General features: G+C 45.8%; 2 protein-coding genes across 2 annotated transcripts in view, besides 1 other annotated feature; both read left to right on the top strand.

The window, feature by feature from the left end:
* CLN3 (CLN3 lysosomal/endosomal transmembrane protein, battenin) overlaps nt 1-7,316 on the top strand; it is a 25,430-nt gene extending 18,114 nt beyond the window's left edge. Inside the window, exon 14 of the mRNA NM_001286109.2 lies at nt 7,067-7,316. The gene's annotated coding sequence lies outside the window, so the exon portion shown is untranslated. The remainder of the gene's footprint in view (nt 1-7,066) is intronic.
* Nucleotides 74-143: a silencer, noted in NCBI's record as "silent region_7308". NCBI's record gives its function as "represses an Ori minimal core promoter by ATAC-STARR-seq in GM12878 lymphoblastoid cells {active_cell/tissue: GM12878}" and the evidence as "EXISTENCE:reporter gene assay evidence [ECO:0000049][PMID:35858748]".
* On the top strand, nt 1,633-17,640 carry NPIPB7 (nuclear pore complex interacting protein family member B7). Its single transcript, NM_001396030.1, has 7 exons — nt 1,633-3,596; nt 7,067-7,249; nt 10,888-10,987; nt 11,100-11,295; nt 15,378-15,438; nt 15,548-15,583; nt 16,943-17,640. The coding sequence occupies exons 1-7, from the start codon at nt 3,531-3,533 to the stop codon at nt 17,543-17,545; spliced, it is 1,245 nt and encodes a 414-aa protein (NP_001382959.1). The 5' UTR covers nt 1,633-3,530; the 3' UTR covers nt 17,546-17,640.

The raw sequence follows: 17,640 nt of genomic DNA, 5'->3' as shown, positions 1-17,640 counted from the left end.
TTTTTTTTTTCCTTTGGTTGTCTGGTTTGGTTTTTATTATAGCCTTTCTAGTGAGTGTGAAGTGGTATCTCACTGTGGTTTTGATTTGCATGTCCCTGGTGACTAATGATGCTGAGCATCTTTTCATGTCCTTATTGACCGTACATATAGTTCTTTGAGAAATGTCTTCTCAGATCCTTTGCCCATTTTTAAATGGGATTGTCTTTTTTTATTAAAGAGCCAGAGATCTGAAGTCTTTTTGAGTTGTAAGATTTCTTCATATATTCTAGACAGAAGTCCCTTATAAGATACATGATTTGCAAATATTTTCTCCCATTCTGTGTTGTCTTTTTACTTTTTTGATATTGTCTTTTGGTACGGAAAGACACTTATTTTGATGAAGTCCAATTTATCTATTTTTTGTTTGGTTGCTTGTGCTTCTGGTAACATATCTAAGTGGGAGCCAGGTGCAGTGGCTCATGCCTGTAATCCCAGCACTTTGGGAGGCCAAGGCGGGAGGTTTGCTTGAGACCAGGAGTTCAAGACCAGCATGAGCAACATTGCAAGGTTCTATCTCTATAAAAAATTAAAATAATGATAAAAGGAGGCCGGGCGTGGTGGCTCATGCCTATAATCCCAGCATTCTGGGAGGCAGGAGGACAACTTGGGCCAGGAGTTCAAGACCAGTCTGGGCATCATGGCAAAAAAAGAAAAAAGAAAAAATTATCCTGGCAAGGTATGCCTGTAGTCCCAGCTACTTGGGAGGCTGAGGCGGGAGAATTGCTTGAGCCCGAGAGGTGGAGGTTGTAGTGAGCTGAGATTGAACCATTGCACTCCAGCCTGGGTGACAGGAATGAAACCCTGTCTCAAAAAATAAAAATAAAATAAGCCAGGTGTAGTGCTGCGTGCCTGTACTCCCAGCTACTCTGGAGGCTGAAGTGGGAGGATCACTTGAGCCTAGGAATTCGAGGCTGCAGTGAGCTATGATCATACCACTGCACCCCAATGTGGGCACAGAGCAAGACCCTATCTCTTAAAAAACAAACAAAGAGGGGCGGGGTGCAGTGGCTCACGCCTGTAATCCCAGCACTTTGGGAGGCTGAGGCGGGCAGATCACGAGGTCAGGAGATCGAGACCATCCTGCCTAACACGGTGAAACCCCATCTCCTTTTTTTTTTTTTTTTTTTTTGAAACAGAGTTTCATTCTTTTTGCCCAGACTCCCGGGTTCAAGCGATTCTCCTGCCTCAGCCTCCTGAGTAGCGGGGATTACAAGGGTGTGCCACCACACCCAGCTAATTTTTTATATTTTTAATAGAGGCGGGGTTTCACCGTGTTGGCCAGGCTGGCCTCAAACTCCTGACCTCAAGTGATCCGCCCACCTCGGCCTCCCAAAGTGCTGGGATTACAGGCGTGAACCAGCGCGCCCAGCCTCCTACATTTTCTTCTAAGAGTTTTATAGTTTTAGCTCTTACATTTAGATCTTGTTTTCATTTTGAATTAACTTTTTTGCAGGTGGTGTGATACAGCAGTCTGTGCAGAAAAAAGTTAACATAGTAGACCCTAACTGCTAACTTTATTTTTACTTTTATTTTTTATTTTGTTTAGAGACAGGGTTTTTGTCACCCAGGATGGAGTGAAGTGGCGTGATCATAGCTCACCGTAACCTTGAACTCCTGGGCTCCTCTGCCTCAGCCTCCCAATTAGCCACCACACCCAGCTACCTTTTGTACATTTTTTTGGTAGAGACGGTGTCTCACTATGTTGCCCAGTCTGGTCTCAAACTCCTCAGCTCAAATGATCTGCCCACCTTGACCTCCAGAGATACTGGGATTACAGGCGTGGGCCACTGCACCAGACCCAGGTTTATTCTTACACCAATACAACACTGTCTTAATTACTATAGCTTTGTAGTGAGCTTTTGAAAATAGGAAATGTGAATCCTCCAACTTTTTTTTTTTGGAGACGGAGTCTCGCTCTGTTGCTCAGACTGGAGTGCAGTGGCACTATCTCAGCTCACTGCAAACTCCATCTTCCAGGTTCAAGTGATTCTCCTGCCTCAGCCTACCAAGTATCTGGGACTACAGGCAGGTGCCACCATGCACAGATTCCTTGGACATCCCTGAGAGGTCAATCATGAAGGTCAACTTGGTTTTCTCCCCCTCATTTGGGTTCAGAATTTAAAGTCCACACACACAGGCAGTAAGATGATTATAGATAAGGACATCATCACTCGGTTTCGGATGTTAAATTGTCTAGGTGGGTTAGGGGTGATTTGAGATCACACAACCTTGTGCCACAAAGAGGAATTCCCAGGCCAGAGGGAGACATTTTATTGCCATGTTATGATCTTATCATTGAGTTGAAAGGCAATCTTGTTTCATTTTGGATTCTTTCTTATGTTTATGTCTTATAAGGGCACTTTGAATTTCCAAGCAAATAATAATTTTGAATTAGCTTTTAATCATTGACTTCTAGCACAGTTATATGATCAGAAACGTGCTGTGTGATTTGATTGCTCTCAAATATATTGAGATTTGCTGGAACAAAATAAGTCAGGTTAATTTTTGTAAATGTACCATGCTTGCTTAAAATGAATGTATCTACATTTGTTCCTGAGATACGGGTTGATGGACGGATGGCTACATGGATGTGATGGAGATGGTTTACTATCGGGACCTTCCGCATCCTGCTGATGTTTTGTTGCTTAGGATATGAATGGCTGAGCGGAGGCTGTAAAACCTGGCACTCTGCTTGGGTATGAGGTTCTTCCTGCCATCCTGCCATCATTTGTTTTTTATGTTTTGTCGCCAAAAGTGACCTTGAGGAACCCTGGGAGCTCAGGAAGGAAGGAGCGCCCAGAAGCAGGGACAGGGAGCTGGTTGGGGAGGACCAGAAATCAGGTTTGTGAAGGTTCCAGAGAGGACCTGTCCTTGCGAGGAGTGTGGGAGACTGAGATGGGGGAGGGGTCATTGGAATGATGCGGGCGCTACTTGGCATTGTCCATTGTGAGGCACCACCGGGGTCATCAGGGATTGGTGGAGAGGGAGTATAAAGCCCCAGGTTTGCTAAGGGAGGGCCCAGACCGAAGAAGGTTTGGCGGATAGCAGAACCTTTTTGTCTCCCTCTAATTGCTCCTAAGCCTCACGCTCCCTTGCCCCGCGTGTCCTGTTGCTTCCCTGATCTTCTCCGTGACCTGTAGCTAAACCTTCCACCAGCGCTTGAGAACTTAATTTGAACCGGATCCTTTCCCAGACCCCTTTCTTCTTCTCCTCCTCCACCTCCTCCAGGTGCCCAACAGCCCCCTTCTCCTCCTTTCCCTTCCCTTACTTCCCCCCTTCCCCTCCCCTTCCCCTCCCCCTCCCCTCCCCTTCCCCTCCCCTTCCCCTTCCCCTCCCCCTCCCCTTCCCCTCCCCCTCCCCTTCCCCTCCCCCTCCCCTCCCCCGCCCCAACTCAGATCCGGCCCCGGTCCCCGTCCCCTTCCCTCCCCCCTGCCCTAAGCCACCTCCACCTCTGTCCTGGCCGCCTCAGGGCACCCTGAAAGGATCAGGACATGCGGCTGCGCTTTTGGCTCCTCATTTGGCTCCTGCTGGGATTTATCAGCCATCAGCCCACCCCTGTGAGTAGACGCTGGACCCGCGGGGTTTCTTCCTTTTTACTGGGCTGTGTCACGCGGCATGAAATTACACAGCTCAGGCCTGTAATCCCAGCACTTTAGGGGGCCGAGGTGGGCAGATCACTTGAGTCCAGGAGTTGAAGACTAGCCAGGGCATCATGGCGAAACCCCATCTCTACAAAAAATTCCAAAAAAGATTAGTCGGGCCTGGTGGTGCGTACCTGTTATCCCAGTTACTGGAGAGGCTGAGGTGGGAGGATCGCTTGGGCCGAGGAGCTGGACGTTGCAGTGAGCTGAGATGGCCCCGCTGCACTCTTGTCTCTAACAAACAAAATGGACCAAAACAAAGTGAAATGTCATTTGATTTGTGTCATCTGGTTTGATGACTTTTTTTTTTTTTTTTTTAGACAGAGTCTCACTCTGTCGCCCAGGCTGGAGTGCAGTGGCAAGATCTCGGCTCACTGCAACCTCCGCTTCCGGGGTTCAAGCAATTGTCCTGCCTCAGCCTCCTGAGTAGCTCAGATTACAACGCCTGGCTAATTTTTGTATTTTTAGTAGAGACGGGGTTTCACCATGTTCGCCAGGATAGTCTCCATCTCTTGACCTCGTGATCCGCCTGCCTCGGCCTCCCAGTGCCGGGATTACAGGCGTGAGCCACCGCGCCTGGCCAAAATATATAACCTTAAGTGTAAGTTTACTAACTTTGGAAAGTACATACACCAGCATAAACCGACCCCCTTTCAAGATCTACATTATTTTATTTATTTATTTATTTTTTTGAGACAGTTTCTCCCTTGTTGCCCAGGCTGGAGTGCAATGGGGCAATATCAGCTCACCGCAACCTCTGCTTCCCAGGTTTGAGCGATTCTCCTGCCTCAGCCTCCCGGGTGGCTGGGATTACAGACATGTGCCACCACTCCCAGCTAATTTTGTATTTTTAGTAGAGATAGGGTTTCTCCATGTTGGTCAGGCTGGTTTTGAACTCCCGACCTCAGGTGATCCGCCCGCCTCGGCCTCCCAAAGTGTTGGGATTACAGGCGTGAACCACCGTGCCCAGCCAAGATCTACACTATTATGTCACCCCAGAAAGTGAACTCTCAGTCTTCCCAGCCAGTCTCTTTCTTATCATAGGTTAGCTTGCTTATTCTGGAATTTCGCGTATACAGATGCGTGCCATGCCATAGGTACTCTTTTGTGTCTGCTTTGTTCTGCTCAACACCATGTTTCTGAAATCATTACCATTGTTGTATGGTTCTCTAACTCCATCATTTCCATTTCAGACTCAGCATATGCTGAGTTCAACCTGTTGAAGGGCTATCTCTGTTTAATTCACCATCTTGAAAGAAACATTTAAAATTGAGATGTTTTCAAGAATATATAGTTAAATCCTGAGGAATCGATGTAGAAATGTTATCACAAGCTGTCTGAACTTACTCAGGGGAAGTCTTCGTCTTCACTCACATAAGAGTCTACTGGAATTAATATCAACAATCTTAGAGAAATCCCACACTATTCATGCCATTTTCATGATCTCCACCTTGGTAATTTTTTTTTTTTTTTTTTTTTTTTGAGACAGAGTCTCACTCTGTCACCCAGGCTGAAGTGCAGTGGTGCGATCTCGGCTCACTGCAACCTCTGCCTCCTGGGTTCAAGTGATTCTTCTGCCTCAGCCTCCCAAGTAGCTGGAACTGTAGGCACGTGCCACCATGCCCTGCTAATTTTTTGTAATTTTAGTAGAGATGGGTTTCACCGTGTTAGCTAGGATGGTCTCAATCTCCTGATCTCGTGGTCCACCCACCTCGGCTTCCCAAAGTGCTGAGATTGCAGGCGTGAGCCACCACACCCGGCCCACCTTGTTAATTTTTAAGCACTAAAATTTGATACTTATTTGTGAATGAAGTAATCTCTTCATTGTATTTTTTTTTTTTACTTATGCTGAGCTTCAAATGACAAAGATTCATATAATCCAAGAGAGAAGTATTATTTAGAGGGATTCTTTTACCATGTGATATATAATAAATGCATCCAATGTTATACATCAATTTAAAAAACAAGTAAATAACTTTAAAGAAAAGATAACTACTGGCCAGGTGCAGTGGCTCACACCTGTATTCCCAGCACTTTGGGAGGCCGAGGCAGGTGGATCAAGAGGTCACGAGTTGGAGACCAGCCTGGCCAAGATGGTGAAACCCTGTTTCTACTCAAAATACAAAAATTAGCCGAGTGCGGTGGCAGGCGCCTGTAATCCCAGTTACTCAGTAGCTGAGGCAGGAGAATCGCTTGAACCCGGGAGGCGGAGGTTGCAGTGAGCTGAGATCATGCCACTGCAATCTAGCCTGGGTGACAGAGCAAGACTTTGTCTCCAAACAAAAAGAAAAGATAATTACTTTATACTTAGCTTGTCTTAGCCATGAGTGACGGGCTGCATGTGGCCCAGGACAGTTTTGAATGCAGTTCAACACAAATTTGTAAACTTTCTTAAAACATTAGGAGATTTTGGCCAGGTACAGTGGCTCATGCCTGTAATCCCAGCACTTTGGGAGGCTGAGGCGGGCAGATTACCTGAGGTCAGGAGTTCGAGACCACCCTGGCCAACATGGCAAAATCCCATCTCCACAAAAAATACAAAAATTTGCTGAGTGCATTGTCAGGCACCTGTACTCCCAGCTACTCAGGAGGCTGAGGCAGGAGAATCACTTGAACCTGAGAGGCAGAGGTTGCAGTGAGCCGAGAGCACGCCACTGCACTCCAGCCTGGGTGACAGAGTGAGACCCCATCTCAAAAACAAAACACCAAACAAAAACAAAAACAAAAAAAAATGGCTGGGCACGGTGGCTCACACCTGTAATCCCAGCACTTTGGGAGGCCGAGGCAGGCAGATCGCCTGCCAGGAGTTCAAGGCCAGACTGGCCAACATGGTGAAACCTCATCTCTACTAAAAATACAAAAATGAGTCGGGCATGGTGGCAGAGACCTGTAATCTCAGCTACTCGGGAGGCTGAGGGAGGAGAATGGCTTGAGCCCAGGAGCTGGAGGTTGCAGTGAGCCGAGATTGCACCACTGCACTCCAGCCTGGGCGACTGAGTGGAGCGGAACTCTGTCTCCAAAAAAAAAAAAAAAAGAGTTTTTTTTTAGATCATCAGCTATTGTTAGTGTTAGTGTATGTTATGTGTGGCTCAAGACAACTTTGTTTCTTTTAATATAGGCAGGGAAGTGAAAAGATTGGATATCCCTGCTTTATACCAAGAAAGACAACACCCCACATTTGCAATGCCTAAAAACACTACCAGCCATCTGAAAAACATGAGACTTCTAACTTCTGTTCTTTTTTGTAGCAGTGGAATCCCACGGTGATATCTGAGGGATGTGGTTACCTTTTGGAGGAGGTTGACGGTTTCTAAGGATGATTCTTTCTGAGTGAAATATTGTCGGTGTCATTGACCTTTTCATTATTTCAACTATTATTATTCCAGGTTATCAATAGTCTGGCTGTCTATCGTCATCGTGAGACTGACTTTGGTGTAGGAGTTCGAGACCACCCTGGCCAACATGGCAAAACCCCATCTCCACAAAAATTGGATAATTTGATAATTATCATTATTGGGTTTCTGAGACGTTACACATTTAACGTTCTCTTCTGCACAAGTTGCCTTTGTGTGAGTATACTAACTTTCTGTAGAGGTATACTTGTAATCACAAATAAGAATAAATTATATAAAACAATTCACGTTTCTGGACTTCATTATGAATATGTGGTTTTACCCAAAAAATCAGGGAAATGATTTATTAGCATAAGAATTATGAAAATGTCTGCCATTTACATTATGAAAATTAAATAGGTCGGTGTTTGTTTAATAGAATGTCAACAGAGCTTTTGGTCAAAAATAAGTTTTTTTAGCCTTTGTGCTATTTATCACAAATGGAGTATGAGGTTTCGTCACTTAAATAGGAAATTCTTTCTAAACTCTTCTGCTTTATAGTTCTATCGTATGGGTGGAAGGAAAGCTTCCAATCTCCTCTCTGAAGATTCACTGCAGAAATGAGCTGACAACAGACAGCTTAACAGGAAAAGAAAAACATAGAACAGGCATAAACATGGGAACCAGCTGAAAAATGAGACTGCTAGAAGGGCCGGATGGTTGATGCTTAAAGAGCACCCTCTTCTGAGGGGAGAGGGAGATAGATGGAGATGTAGGCCATTTAGAGGGGCAGCAAATGATTTTTAGGGGAAATGAAAGAGGCCAAGGAACAAACAATTGGCCTGAGACAAAGTTCCTCTGAGGTCATAGGGACGAGGTGACAAACTGCCGGAAGGTGAAGGGCAGAACTGCACTGCGTCTCATGATGCAGAGAAAGCCCCAGAGAATCTCTTAGAACTGCCCTCCAAGAGAATCAATGAAAAGTGTGTCTGGGCAGGGTAATTTTGAATGACATCATTCAAAGTGCATGTTCCCACTTGCAACTGGAGAGAGATCAGTATGTCAAAAGTCTGTACTTGGTAAGAATTTGGCTGCTAAGTTGTGCCATAATTTGTCTTTTGAGCCTTTTTTCCTTTGGGTAAGTTGAGCTCTACATTTTGTCTTGCCATTCATGACAGTAAAAATGTGGTTTTCTGGGGGCTGAACCTCCTGAACAATGATCCAAGATAAAAGTACTAATACCACAATGCTTTTTTATATTCAAGGGAAGAGGAAGTATGTTTCAGTTTTACCACCTAGATAATTACACGTCATTTGGCACTGCCTTTCAAGATATGTAGAAAACAGAAAATATATGAGTTATGAAGATATCTAGGCACATTTAACATTCTCTATGCCACTTAGTCCTGAACAGAGAATTTTCGGTATAAATTGGAGGAAGCTTTTTTTTTTTTTTTTTCTTTTCTCACCCCCGAGACGAGTCTCCCTCTGTTGCCCAGGCTGGAGTATAATGGTGTGATCTCGGCTCACTGCAACCTCCACCTCCTGGCTTCAAGCGATTCCCCTGCCTCAGCCTCTCAAGTAGCTGGGATTACAGGTGCCCACCACCATGCCCAGCAAATTTTTGTATTTTTAGTAGAGTCGGGGTTTTACCATGTTGGCCAGGCTAGTCTCAAAACCCGACCTCAAATGATCCACCCGCCTCAGCCTCCCAAAGTGCTGGGATTACAAGCGTGAGCCACCACGTGAGCCAGGGGAAGTTTTTAAATTTACCACTTTTTAACAGTTCCATTTAGGAAAGTTCAGTTGAGCTGCTGGACTTGGACAACTTCGCACCTCTCATCTTTGTCCTTGTCATCTAGTCATCTATACCATTACCTCCTAAGCAGGGACATCATGGGTGCCATGAAGCATTCATGCGTGATGGCATTTCTTTGCTTGTCATTTCTTCATGTGTTTGACATTTCTCCTAGCTCCAAACTGGGCCAGCTACCTTTCCTATGAAATCTAGTAGTAGCTGTGGGATTGACGTGGTTGCTCTTTTCATCTTTTTAGATTACCCATTGCTTCTCTCGAAATCCTAGTACATGATTTTTTTTTTTTATCCTATGTGCAGAAATCAGGAAAAAACAAATTCTACAAAGAATTTGAAAGATATTATTTCAGGCCAGGTGTGGTGGCTCATGCCTGTAATCCCAGCACTTTGGGAGGCTGAGGCAGGTGGATGACTTGAGGTCAGGAGTTCAAGACCAGATGGGCCAACATGGTGAAACCCCATCTCTACTAAAAAGACAAAAATTAGCCAGGCATGGTAGCAGGCACCTGTAATCCCAGCTACTTGGGAGGCCGAGGCACAAGAATCGCTTGAATCTGGGAGGTGGAGGTTGCCGTGAGCCAAGGTAGTGCCACTGCACTTCAGCATGGTTGAGAGTGACACTCCATCTCAAGAAAAAAGTCATTTCAATGACTACCTCAGGACATTCATAGGTATCTGACCCACATCTGAGATGGGATTTGCATTGCATTTTCGCTATGATGAGAACAAATATTTAATATCTTAGAAGATTAAAAGCATACTGTGATAATATGGAAATCTTGGAGGGAATTCAGTCATTAGTGAGAATGTTTTGCGTTAAGTTCAAACCAGCCTCAATGAAGCTGATGTGAGGGAAGGGAAAGTGAACTCTGAGTAGAGCAGGGACAGAAGGAAGATGCTCCAGTGCAGATCAGGAAGGAGCAGGGGGTGAAATGTTACAAATTCTAGAACTCAGAGAGCTGAAGGTAATTACTTCCTTTTCAAGTTGTGAAACATGTTAACCTGTGGTAAAATACTTATAAGATGATAATTACCATCTAACCGTGTTGAAGTGTACAGTTCAGTTGTGTGAAGTATATTCATGTCATTTTTTTTTTTTTTTTTTTTGAGACGGAGTCTCACTCTGTCACCAGGCTGGAGTGCAGTGGTGGGATCTTGGCTCACTGCAACCTCTGCCTCCTGGGTTCAAGCAGTTCTCCTGCCTCAGCCTCCCGAGTAGCTGGGACTACAGGCGTGCATCACCATGCTCAGCTAATTTTTGTATTTTTAGTAGAGACGGGGTTTCACCATGTTGCCCAGGATGGTCTCCATCTCTTGACCTTGTGATTCACCCGCCTCAGCCTCCCAAAGTGCTGGGATTACAGGCGTGAGCTACCGCACCTGGGCTATTTTTTTTTTTTTTTTTTTTTTTTTGAGACAGAGTTTCAATTTTGTTGCCCAGGTTTGGAGTGCAATGGCACAATCTCAGCTCACCACAACCTTTTCTTGCTGGGTTCAAGTGATTCTCCTGCCTCAGCCTCCCGACTAGCTGGGACTACAGGCATGCACCACCATGCCTGGCTAATTTTGTATTTTTAGCAGAGACAGCGTTTCTCCATGTTGGTGAGGCTGGTCTCAAACTCCCGACCTCAGGTGATCCGCCTGCCTCGGCCTCCCAAAGTGCTGGGATTACAGGAGTGAGCCACCGTGCCAGCCTCATGTCATTCTTGTGTGTGTGTGTGTGTGTGTGTGTGTGTGTGTGTGTGTGTGTGAGACAGAGTCTCATTCTGTCGCTCAGGCTGGAGTACAGTGGTGTGATCTCGGCTCACTGCAACCTCCGCCTCCCAGCTTCAAACGGTTCTCTGCCTCAGCCTCCCGAGTAGCTTGGATTACAGGCGCCCGCTGCCATGCCTGGCTAATTTTTGTATTTTTAGTAGAGACAGGGTTTCACCATCTTGGCCAGGCTGGTCTTGAACTCCTGACCCCGTGATCCACCTGCCTCGGCCTCCCAAAGTACTGGGATTATTTATACGCATGAGCCACCGTGCCCAGCCGTCATTCTTATATTATTATTTCCTAGGTGTCTTTCCTGAAGACTATCTTCTGGTCTCGAAATGGACATGATGGATCCATGGATGTACAGCAGAGAGCCTGGAGGTCCAACCGCAGTAGACAGAAAGGTATGGCTCTGTTGGAGTCCCCATAGTGTGGAAATGAGTTTGCCCTGGAAAGGGAAAGAACAGCTTCTTGACCTCAGGTTTCTCACCTTCTCCTCTCCTCACTCTCACCAAGGGCTGAGGTCCATTTGTATGCACACAAAGAAAAGAGTTTCTTCCTTTCGAGGAAATAAAATTGGCCTGAAAGACGTCATTACTCTACGGAGGCATGTGGAAACAAAAGTTAGAGCTAAAATCCGTAAGAGGAAGGTGACAACGAAAATCAACCGTCATGACAAAATCAATGGAAAGAGGAAGACCGCCAGAAAACAGTAAGATGTGCCTTGACACAAATACTGTTGTATGAACCATGTGCCAATCAAAGTAGACAACTGTAAAGTCCTTGAGAATATTTTCTACAATATTTGTGGCAAATTCAGTGGGCTCAAAATTGAGTTTGTCCTTTCTGCTTCATTAGTTTAAGCTGTATAATTCCTTTCCCTTCCTACATTCTTGTTTGTAATTTTTTCGGGGGAAGAGGAGTTGCTAGTACTGGCATTGGTTTTCCTTTCTCTCTTTTTTTTTTTTTTTCCTGAGATGGAGCTTTGCTGTTGTTGCCCAGGCTGTAGTGCAATGGCACAATCTCAGCTCACTGCCTTTTGACTTCAAGCAATTCTCCTGCCTCAGCCTCCCAAGTAGCTGGGATTACAGGTGCCCACCACCACGCCCAGCTAATTTTTGTATTTTTACTAGAGATGGGGTTTCACCATGTTGTCCAGGCTGGTCTCGAACTTCTGACCTCAGGTAATCCACCTGCCTCAGCCTCCCAAAGTGCTGGGATTAGAGGCGTGAGCCACCACACCCAGCCTTTTTTTTTTTTTTAAATTTTGAGATAGAATCTCGCTCTGTCGCCCAGGCTGGAGTGCTATGGTGCAATCTTGGCTCACTGCAACCTCTGCCTCCCAGTTTGAAGCAATTCTGCCTCAGCTTCCTGAGTAGCTTGGATTACAGGTGTGTGCCACCACATTCGGCCAATTTTTTTTTTTTTTTTTTTTTTTGAGACAGAGTCTCACTCTGTCACCCAGGCTAGAGTGCAGTGGCATGATCTTGGCTCACTGCAACCTCCGCCTCCCAGGTTCAAGCGATTCTTATCCCTCAGCCTCTTGAGTAGCTGGGACTACAGGCATATGCCACCATGCCCGGATAATTTTTGTATTCTTAGTAGAGGCGGGGTTTCACCATATTGGCCAAGCTGGTCTAGAACTCTGGACATCATGATCCACACACCTCGGCCTCCCAATGTGCTGGGATTACAGGCGTGAGCCACCGTGCCTGGCCCAATTTTTGTATTTTTAGTAGAGACAGGGGTTCACCATGTTGGCCAGGCTAGTCTTGAACTCCTGACCTCAGGTGATCTGCCTACCTCAGCCTCCCAGTGTGAGCCACCGCACCCAGCCTGGATTGTTGAATTCAATGCTTGGGTCACCTCCAGATTCATTTTCACAGTCTTTCATGTTTTGGTCATATTACATTGTATTTTGCTGCCATATGACTGATCTCTTTTTGTTAAATGTGAGATACTTGTTAAAAAATATTTAGCAATGAATTGAGGCCTAGTGGCATGTTATCTTGCTGCAGAAGAGATGGGAGTCTACTTCTGGGGGATGGTCACGGGTCCTCCATACAGGCTGCAATTGAGGTCGTCGGTGCAGGCTCAGTCCCTACAAAGGCCAGGGTATTTCCTGTCTACCTCTATTCTGATGCATGACTCTTCTGGGTCTCAACCAGAGCCAGTGGATTTCAGTACGGGTCGCTTTCATTGGCAGACCCTCAATCCACTTGTTTTCCATCTAATCCCACGCATGTGTGCAAAAGCTGCTGTGCTTCTTTGCATCTCAGTAGTTCCTTCTGGAATTCAGCAATGAAACTCAGGGAAATGGGTTCCAAATGCGAGGCTGACTTTCGTCCTGGGTTTCCTTCTTCTCCATCTTCACCTCATGTCTGTTTACTGCCATGTTAGCAATTTGATGTATTCAATCATGGGTTTTATATTCTGTTTGGTGTCCCCCATTGTTCTCATCGGAGATCAGAAGCTTCAGATGCACTTATGTCAACTCAAGAGTAGAATGCTTCCTTAGCTTCCCTCCAGAGTCAGGTTTTGTGTTTCTAGTTCCCAAGTGGACAGCAGGAGTAGTGATGTCCTCACTGGCTTCTCATTTGCATTAAGCTGTGAGCTTCTTTACCGTGGGGACAGGACCCTGCTCCCATTGCATTCTCAGCACCACACCACACACTCCTTGTTGGAGGCCACTCCAGACAGCATGTGCTGAAGGATGCCCTGTGGTCAGAAACAAGTTCATTAACTTTCTCTTTGAAGTGTTTTCACCCCTGTTTCCTAGCGTTCTGGGAATTTTACACATCCTTCCTATAAAACCAAGTATCAGGTGAGATCCTTAGGATCAGGACCATGAATCAAGTGGTGTGAGGGCAACACAGCAAACTTACCCTTTTTAGGCCATTTCCTTTTTCTGCCCTCAATGTCTGTGAAGTGAACCTTGTTAAAGTCAGTCAACACCAGGGTGGATGGTTTGCCGTTGTCACCTATTTTCAGGACATAACACCCTGACTTAGGAGCCATTCCGATCATTTCTAATTCAATAGATGCGCCCAGCATTCAGATTGCCTTTTCTCTCAACCAGGATCTTTAAAGTCGATGACAAGAGTTCCAGTCCTGAATCATGGCAAAGTGCAGTAGTGAACTGCGGGGTTAATGACACCATATTCTGGAAGGATCTCTCTATGGCTGATGGTCTCAGTTCCGGCATCAGCCTCTGACTGAGAAGCAGGTCTCACACAGGAAGAGTCAGATGAGGAGCAATCCTCTGCTTCCGATGGAGTTAGTTGTGATGAGTTGGTGAGGTCTGGTTTTTCACACTGAACTAAAATGATCTTTCGCTGTGTCAAGCACAAGACTGACCCCAGAGACACACATAGTGCACCTCATAGAAGCTTTTAATAGTCTTTATATTTACTAAAGAATAGGACTAACTATGGAACTATGAAGATGAGCTGGAAATGACAGGTGACTTGCCAGCAGGCCAGAGTGTGATTTTTTTTGGTCCCTCAATGGGAGGTGTCCATTCTCCCTTCGGTTGTGAGAATCAGTTGGTTCATTTGTGGGAAGGTTGCAGGGGGGATCTTTGAATCACAGCCTTCAGATGCCAGAAGGGCAGAGGGAATCCCACATGGACTGGTGGATCATGTGTGTGCATTTCTCTCCCTTCTAACCTGAGGAAACTAAGCATGAAAGAATGTGAGCACGCAGAAAAGGAGAGGCAGGTATCAGAGGCAGAGGAAAATGGGAAATTGGATATGAAAGAAATACACACCTACAAGTGAGTTCAGAAACTGAACCCCACCCTCCTGGGAAACGCCCATTGGAGTGCTGTTTTTAACCTCTGTACAATGTTTAGACCCAGTAAATGCAGAAATAGAAACAAACGGTCAGAAGACATATCGTGAGAGAGAGAGAGAGAGTTCACAAAACAGAAAACAAAGTACCTTAATATTTACCAGTGACCAAAAGATGTGAAGTAGCAAAACGGCTCCTGACCCCATTACCAGCTAGACTGTGTGGAAACTCGGTTCATACCAGCCATTCTAGGGGTGGGGTGAGTTGTTGTCATCCTTAGGAAAGTGTGTTGTTGTAGGATCAACCACATCCTTCAAAAGGACTATGCCTGTTTATAAGCCCAGCTGTTTCTGCCCTGTGAAACACGGTAAGGATATTAATACAAAGAGAATACAGCTTTATGATAAAAGATGCTCAATGAAGGATGAATTAGGGATATACTGAGAATGGGGAAGGAAACTATCATCTCAGAAGTCAACAGGCAGTAAGCAAGAGGAGGAATCAATACAGCAACAGTTTGGATCAGACCGTACAGTTTTTTTGTTTTTGTTTTTGTTTTTGTTTTTCTGAGATGGCGTCTCGCTGTGTCACCCAGGCTGGAGTGCAATGACGTGATCTTGGCTCACTGCAACCTCCGCCTCCCAGGTTCAAGTGATTCCCCTGCCTCAGCCTCCCGAGTAGCTGGGATTACAGGTGCCTGCCACCACGCCCGGCTAATCTTTTGTATTTTTAGTAGAGACGGGGTTTCACCGTATTAGCCAGGATGGTCTCAATCTCCTGACCTCGTGATCCATCCGCCTCGCCCTCCCAGAGTGCTGGGACTACAGGCATCAGCCACCGTGACCGGCTCAGACTGTACTCTTATAGCCATCTGAAATACGTTTTCTAGGTAGAGATAGATTGTGTAAGGGTACAGTTGTGAGGATAACAGAAACATGGCAGATTATTTAAAATCATCCTGAACGTGGTGCTTTATCTGATGAAAGTGATTGTAATCCATAGGAAAATGTTTCAACGTGCGCAAGAGTTGCGGCGGCGGGCAGAGGACTACCACAAATGCAAAGTAAGGAGCTTCCTCCCCGCAGTTGCAGGATAGTTCAGTGCTGATGCAGATGATGCCACGGCTCTTAGACTCTCTCAACATTCAATTTCTCATGTGTTGGCTTTTTCAGATCCCCCCTTCTGCAAGAAAGCCTCTTTGCAACTGGGTAAGTTTGTTTGTTTTCCTTGCTTTTGAACATAGTCTGCCAGGTCAGGACATGGATACATTTTTCTCCCTACAGCTCTGTGCTCAAGCCCTGCAGAGGGAGATGGCAGAGAGGAAGGCTGCCTACAGGCATCACAGTCCCATCCCTGTTGGTAACCGTGTTGTGCAAAAACACCTTCATCCCCACCCAGTGGGGCCCCTGATCTAAATTCAAAGTGTCAGAGGTTCCATATTTGTAATAGCAAATGGGCCCTGACTGTAAATTAGTGAAGAGTGAATGTAACTTATTACCCACAGGGACAATTCCAAATGAAGGCCTTAAATGATGCTCAGCTAAGCTGGTTCTTGTGTGGCCTCTGTACCTTCAAAAGCTGCCGAGTCCTATGATTACACGTGATGGGACTTGTACACTTGAAGTGAAACACAGTTTTAAAACTTGCTTTGTTTAGAATTCCCACCTCATTTTTCCATGGACAAAAGTATTCTTTATGTCCTAGTGCACTTACAATTTGGTATTACCTGGGAGTGAAAAGAAATATTACAGCCATGCCTAAGTGACTTCTTGAGGTGAGATTGTTCTGTCAGAAAACCCTCTCCCAGTTCCCCTGCAGCTCTTCAGGAATCCACATCTCTCCAGAGCTCTTTGTTCTCATGGGTGGCACCTCCAGAGTGAAGAAGATCCTTTGTCAAGAAGGGAAACAGAGGGGAAATGAGAGGGTCCTGCAGGCAGAGCTGGAATCAACTTCCACTCTGCCTCTTGCAAGCTGTGTGACCCTGGGCACAATTTCTCCTTCCTCTGGAAACCTCTGTTTTCTTAGATTTGGAGCAGGGTGGTCACACTGACCTTGCAGAGTTCTGAGAGTCAGAGACAGAACATGAAAGGCCTGGAAAACATTCTCCAAAAAGAAGCTGCAACATGTGTGGACAATGGGCTTTTCATGCCTCTCTTACTGTCTCTTACTGTCTGTTGACCTGGTGCAAGAAACATGCTCTGGTGATGGCTGTGAGGGAGGAATGAGGATAGACATAGACACTCCTGTGTCTCAAACATGCTTCTTTATTACTCTGTTATGACTCTGTCTTCCCTGGGGCAGGACCCCAGCCTGCCTACATTTGCAGACAGACACAGTGGCATGTGGAGACAACAGTGTGTCCCAATGACTTTTCTTTACCCCCCAGCTGTCGGCAGTACTCAGTGGAAGGGTGATATTATGACACTGATACTGCTATTTTGAAACCTGGAGGATGGAAAGGTGCAAAAATCTATCACCAGCAACAGAAGGTGCAGACTGTGTTGGTGGTGGTAATTTTGTCCATCAAATGAATATGTGTGAAAACATTCCCTCCTTTGGCCCTACAGGTCAGAATGGCGGCAGCGGAGCATTGTCATTCTTCAGGATTGCCCTACTGGCTCTACCTCACAGCTGAAACTTTAAAAAACAGGATGGGCCGCCAGCCACCTCCTCCAACTCAACAACATTCTATAACTGATAACTCCCTGAGCCTCAAGACACCTCCCGAGTGTCTGCTCACTCCCCTTCCACCCTCAGTGGATGATAATATCAAGGAGTGTCCTCTTGCTCCTCTTCCACCCTCTCCTCTTCCACCCTCAGTGGATGATAATCTGAAGGAATGTCTCTTTGTCCCGCTTCCACCCTCTCCTCTTCCACCCTCAGTGGATGATAATCTGAAGGAATGTCTCTTTGTCCCGCTTCCACCCTCTCCTCTTCCACCCTCAGTGGATGATAATCTCAAGACTCCTCCCTTAGCTACTCAGGAGGCCGAGGTGGAAAAACCACCCAAACCCAAGAGGTGGAGGGTGGATGAGGTGGAACAATCGCCCAAGCCCAAGAGGCAGAGGGAGGCCGAGGCACAACAATTACCCAAACCCAAGAGGCGGAGGTTGAGTAAGCTGAGAACACGCCATTGCACTCAAGCCTGGGCAATAAGAATAAATCCGTAGGTCGAAAAAAAGAAAAAAATCAAAAAACAAAACAAAACCCACGCTCCAAAAACAAACTAACGAAGAATAAATAAATAATATAAAAATAAAATAAA

Source organism: Homo sapiens, chromosome 16 (assembly GCF_000001405.40).
Source record: "Homo sapiens chromosome 16, GRCh38.p14 Primary Assembly".
NCBI classification, from domain to species: domain Eukaryota; kingdom Metazoa; phylum Chordata; class Mammalia; order Primates; family Hominidae; genus Homo; species Homo sapiens.
This window is presented reverse-complemented; position numbering and strand designations above follow the sequence as displayed.

Bases quoted from the DNA above. Each gene is read 5' to 3' on its own strand.
- NPIPB7 (NM_001396030.1), top strand. From the start codon at position 3,531: ATGCGGCTGCGCTTTTGGCTCCTCATTTGGCTCCTGCTGGGATTTATC. The intron at 10,988-11,099 runs GTATGGCTCTGT...ACTCTCACCAAG, and splicing joins CAACCGCAGTAGACAGAAAG to GGCTGAGGTCCATTTGTATG. The intron at 11,296-15,377 runs GTAAGATGTGCC...TGTAATCCATAG, and splicing joins AGGAAGACCGCCAGAAAACA to GAAAATGTTTCAACGTGCGC.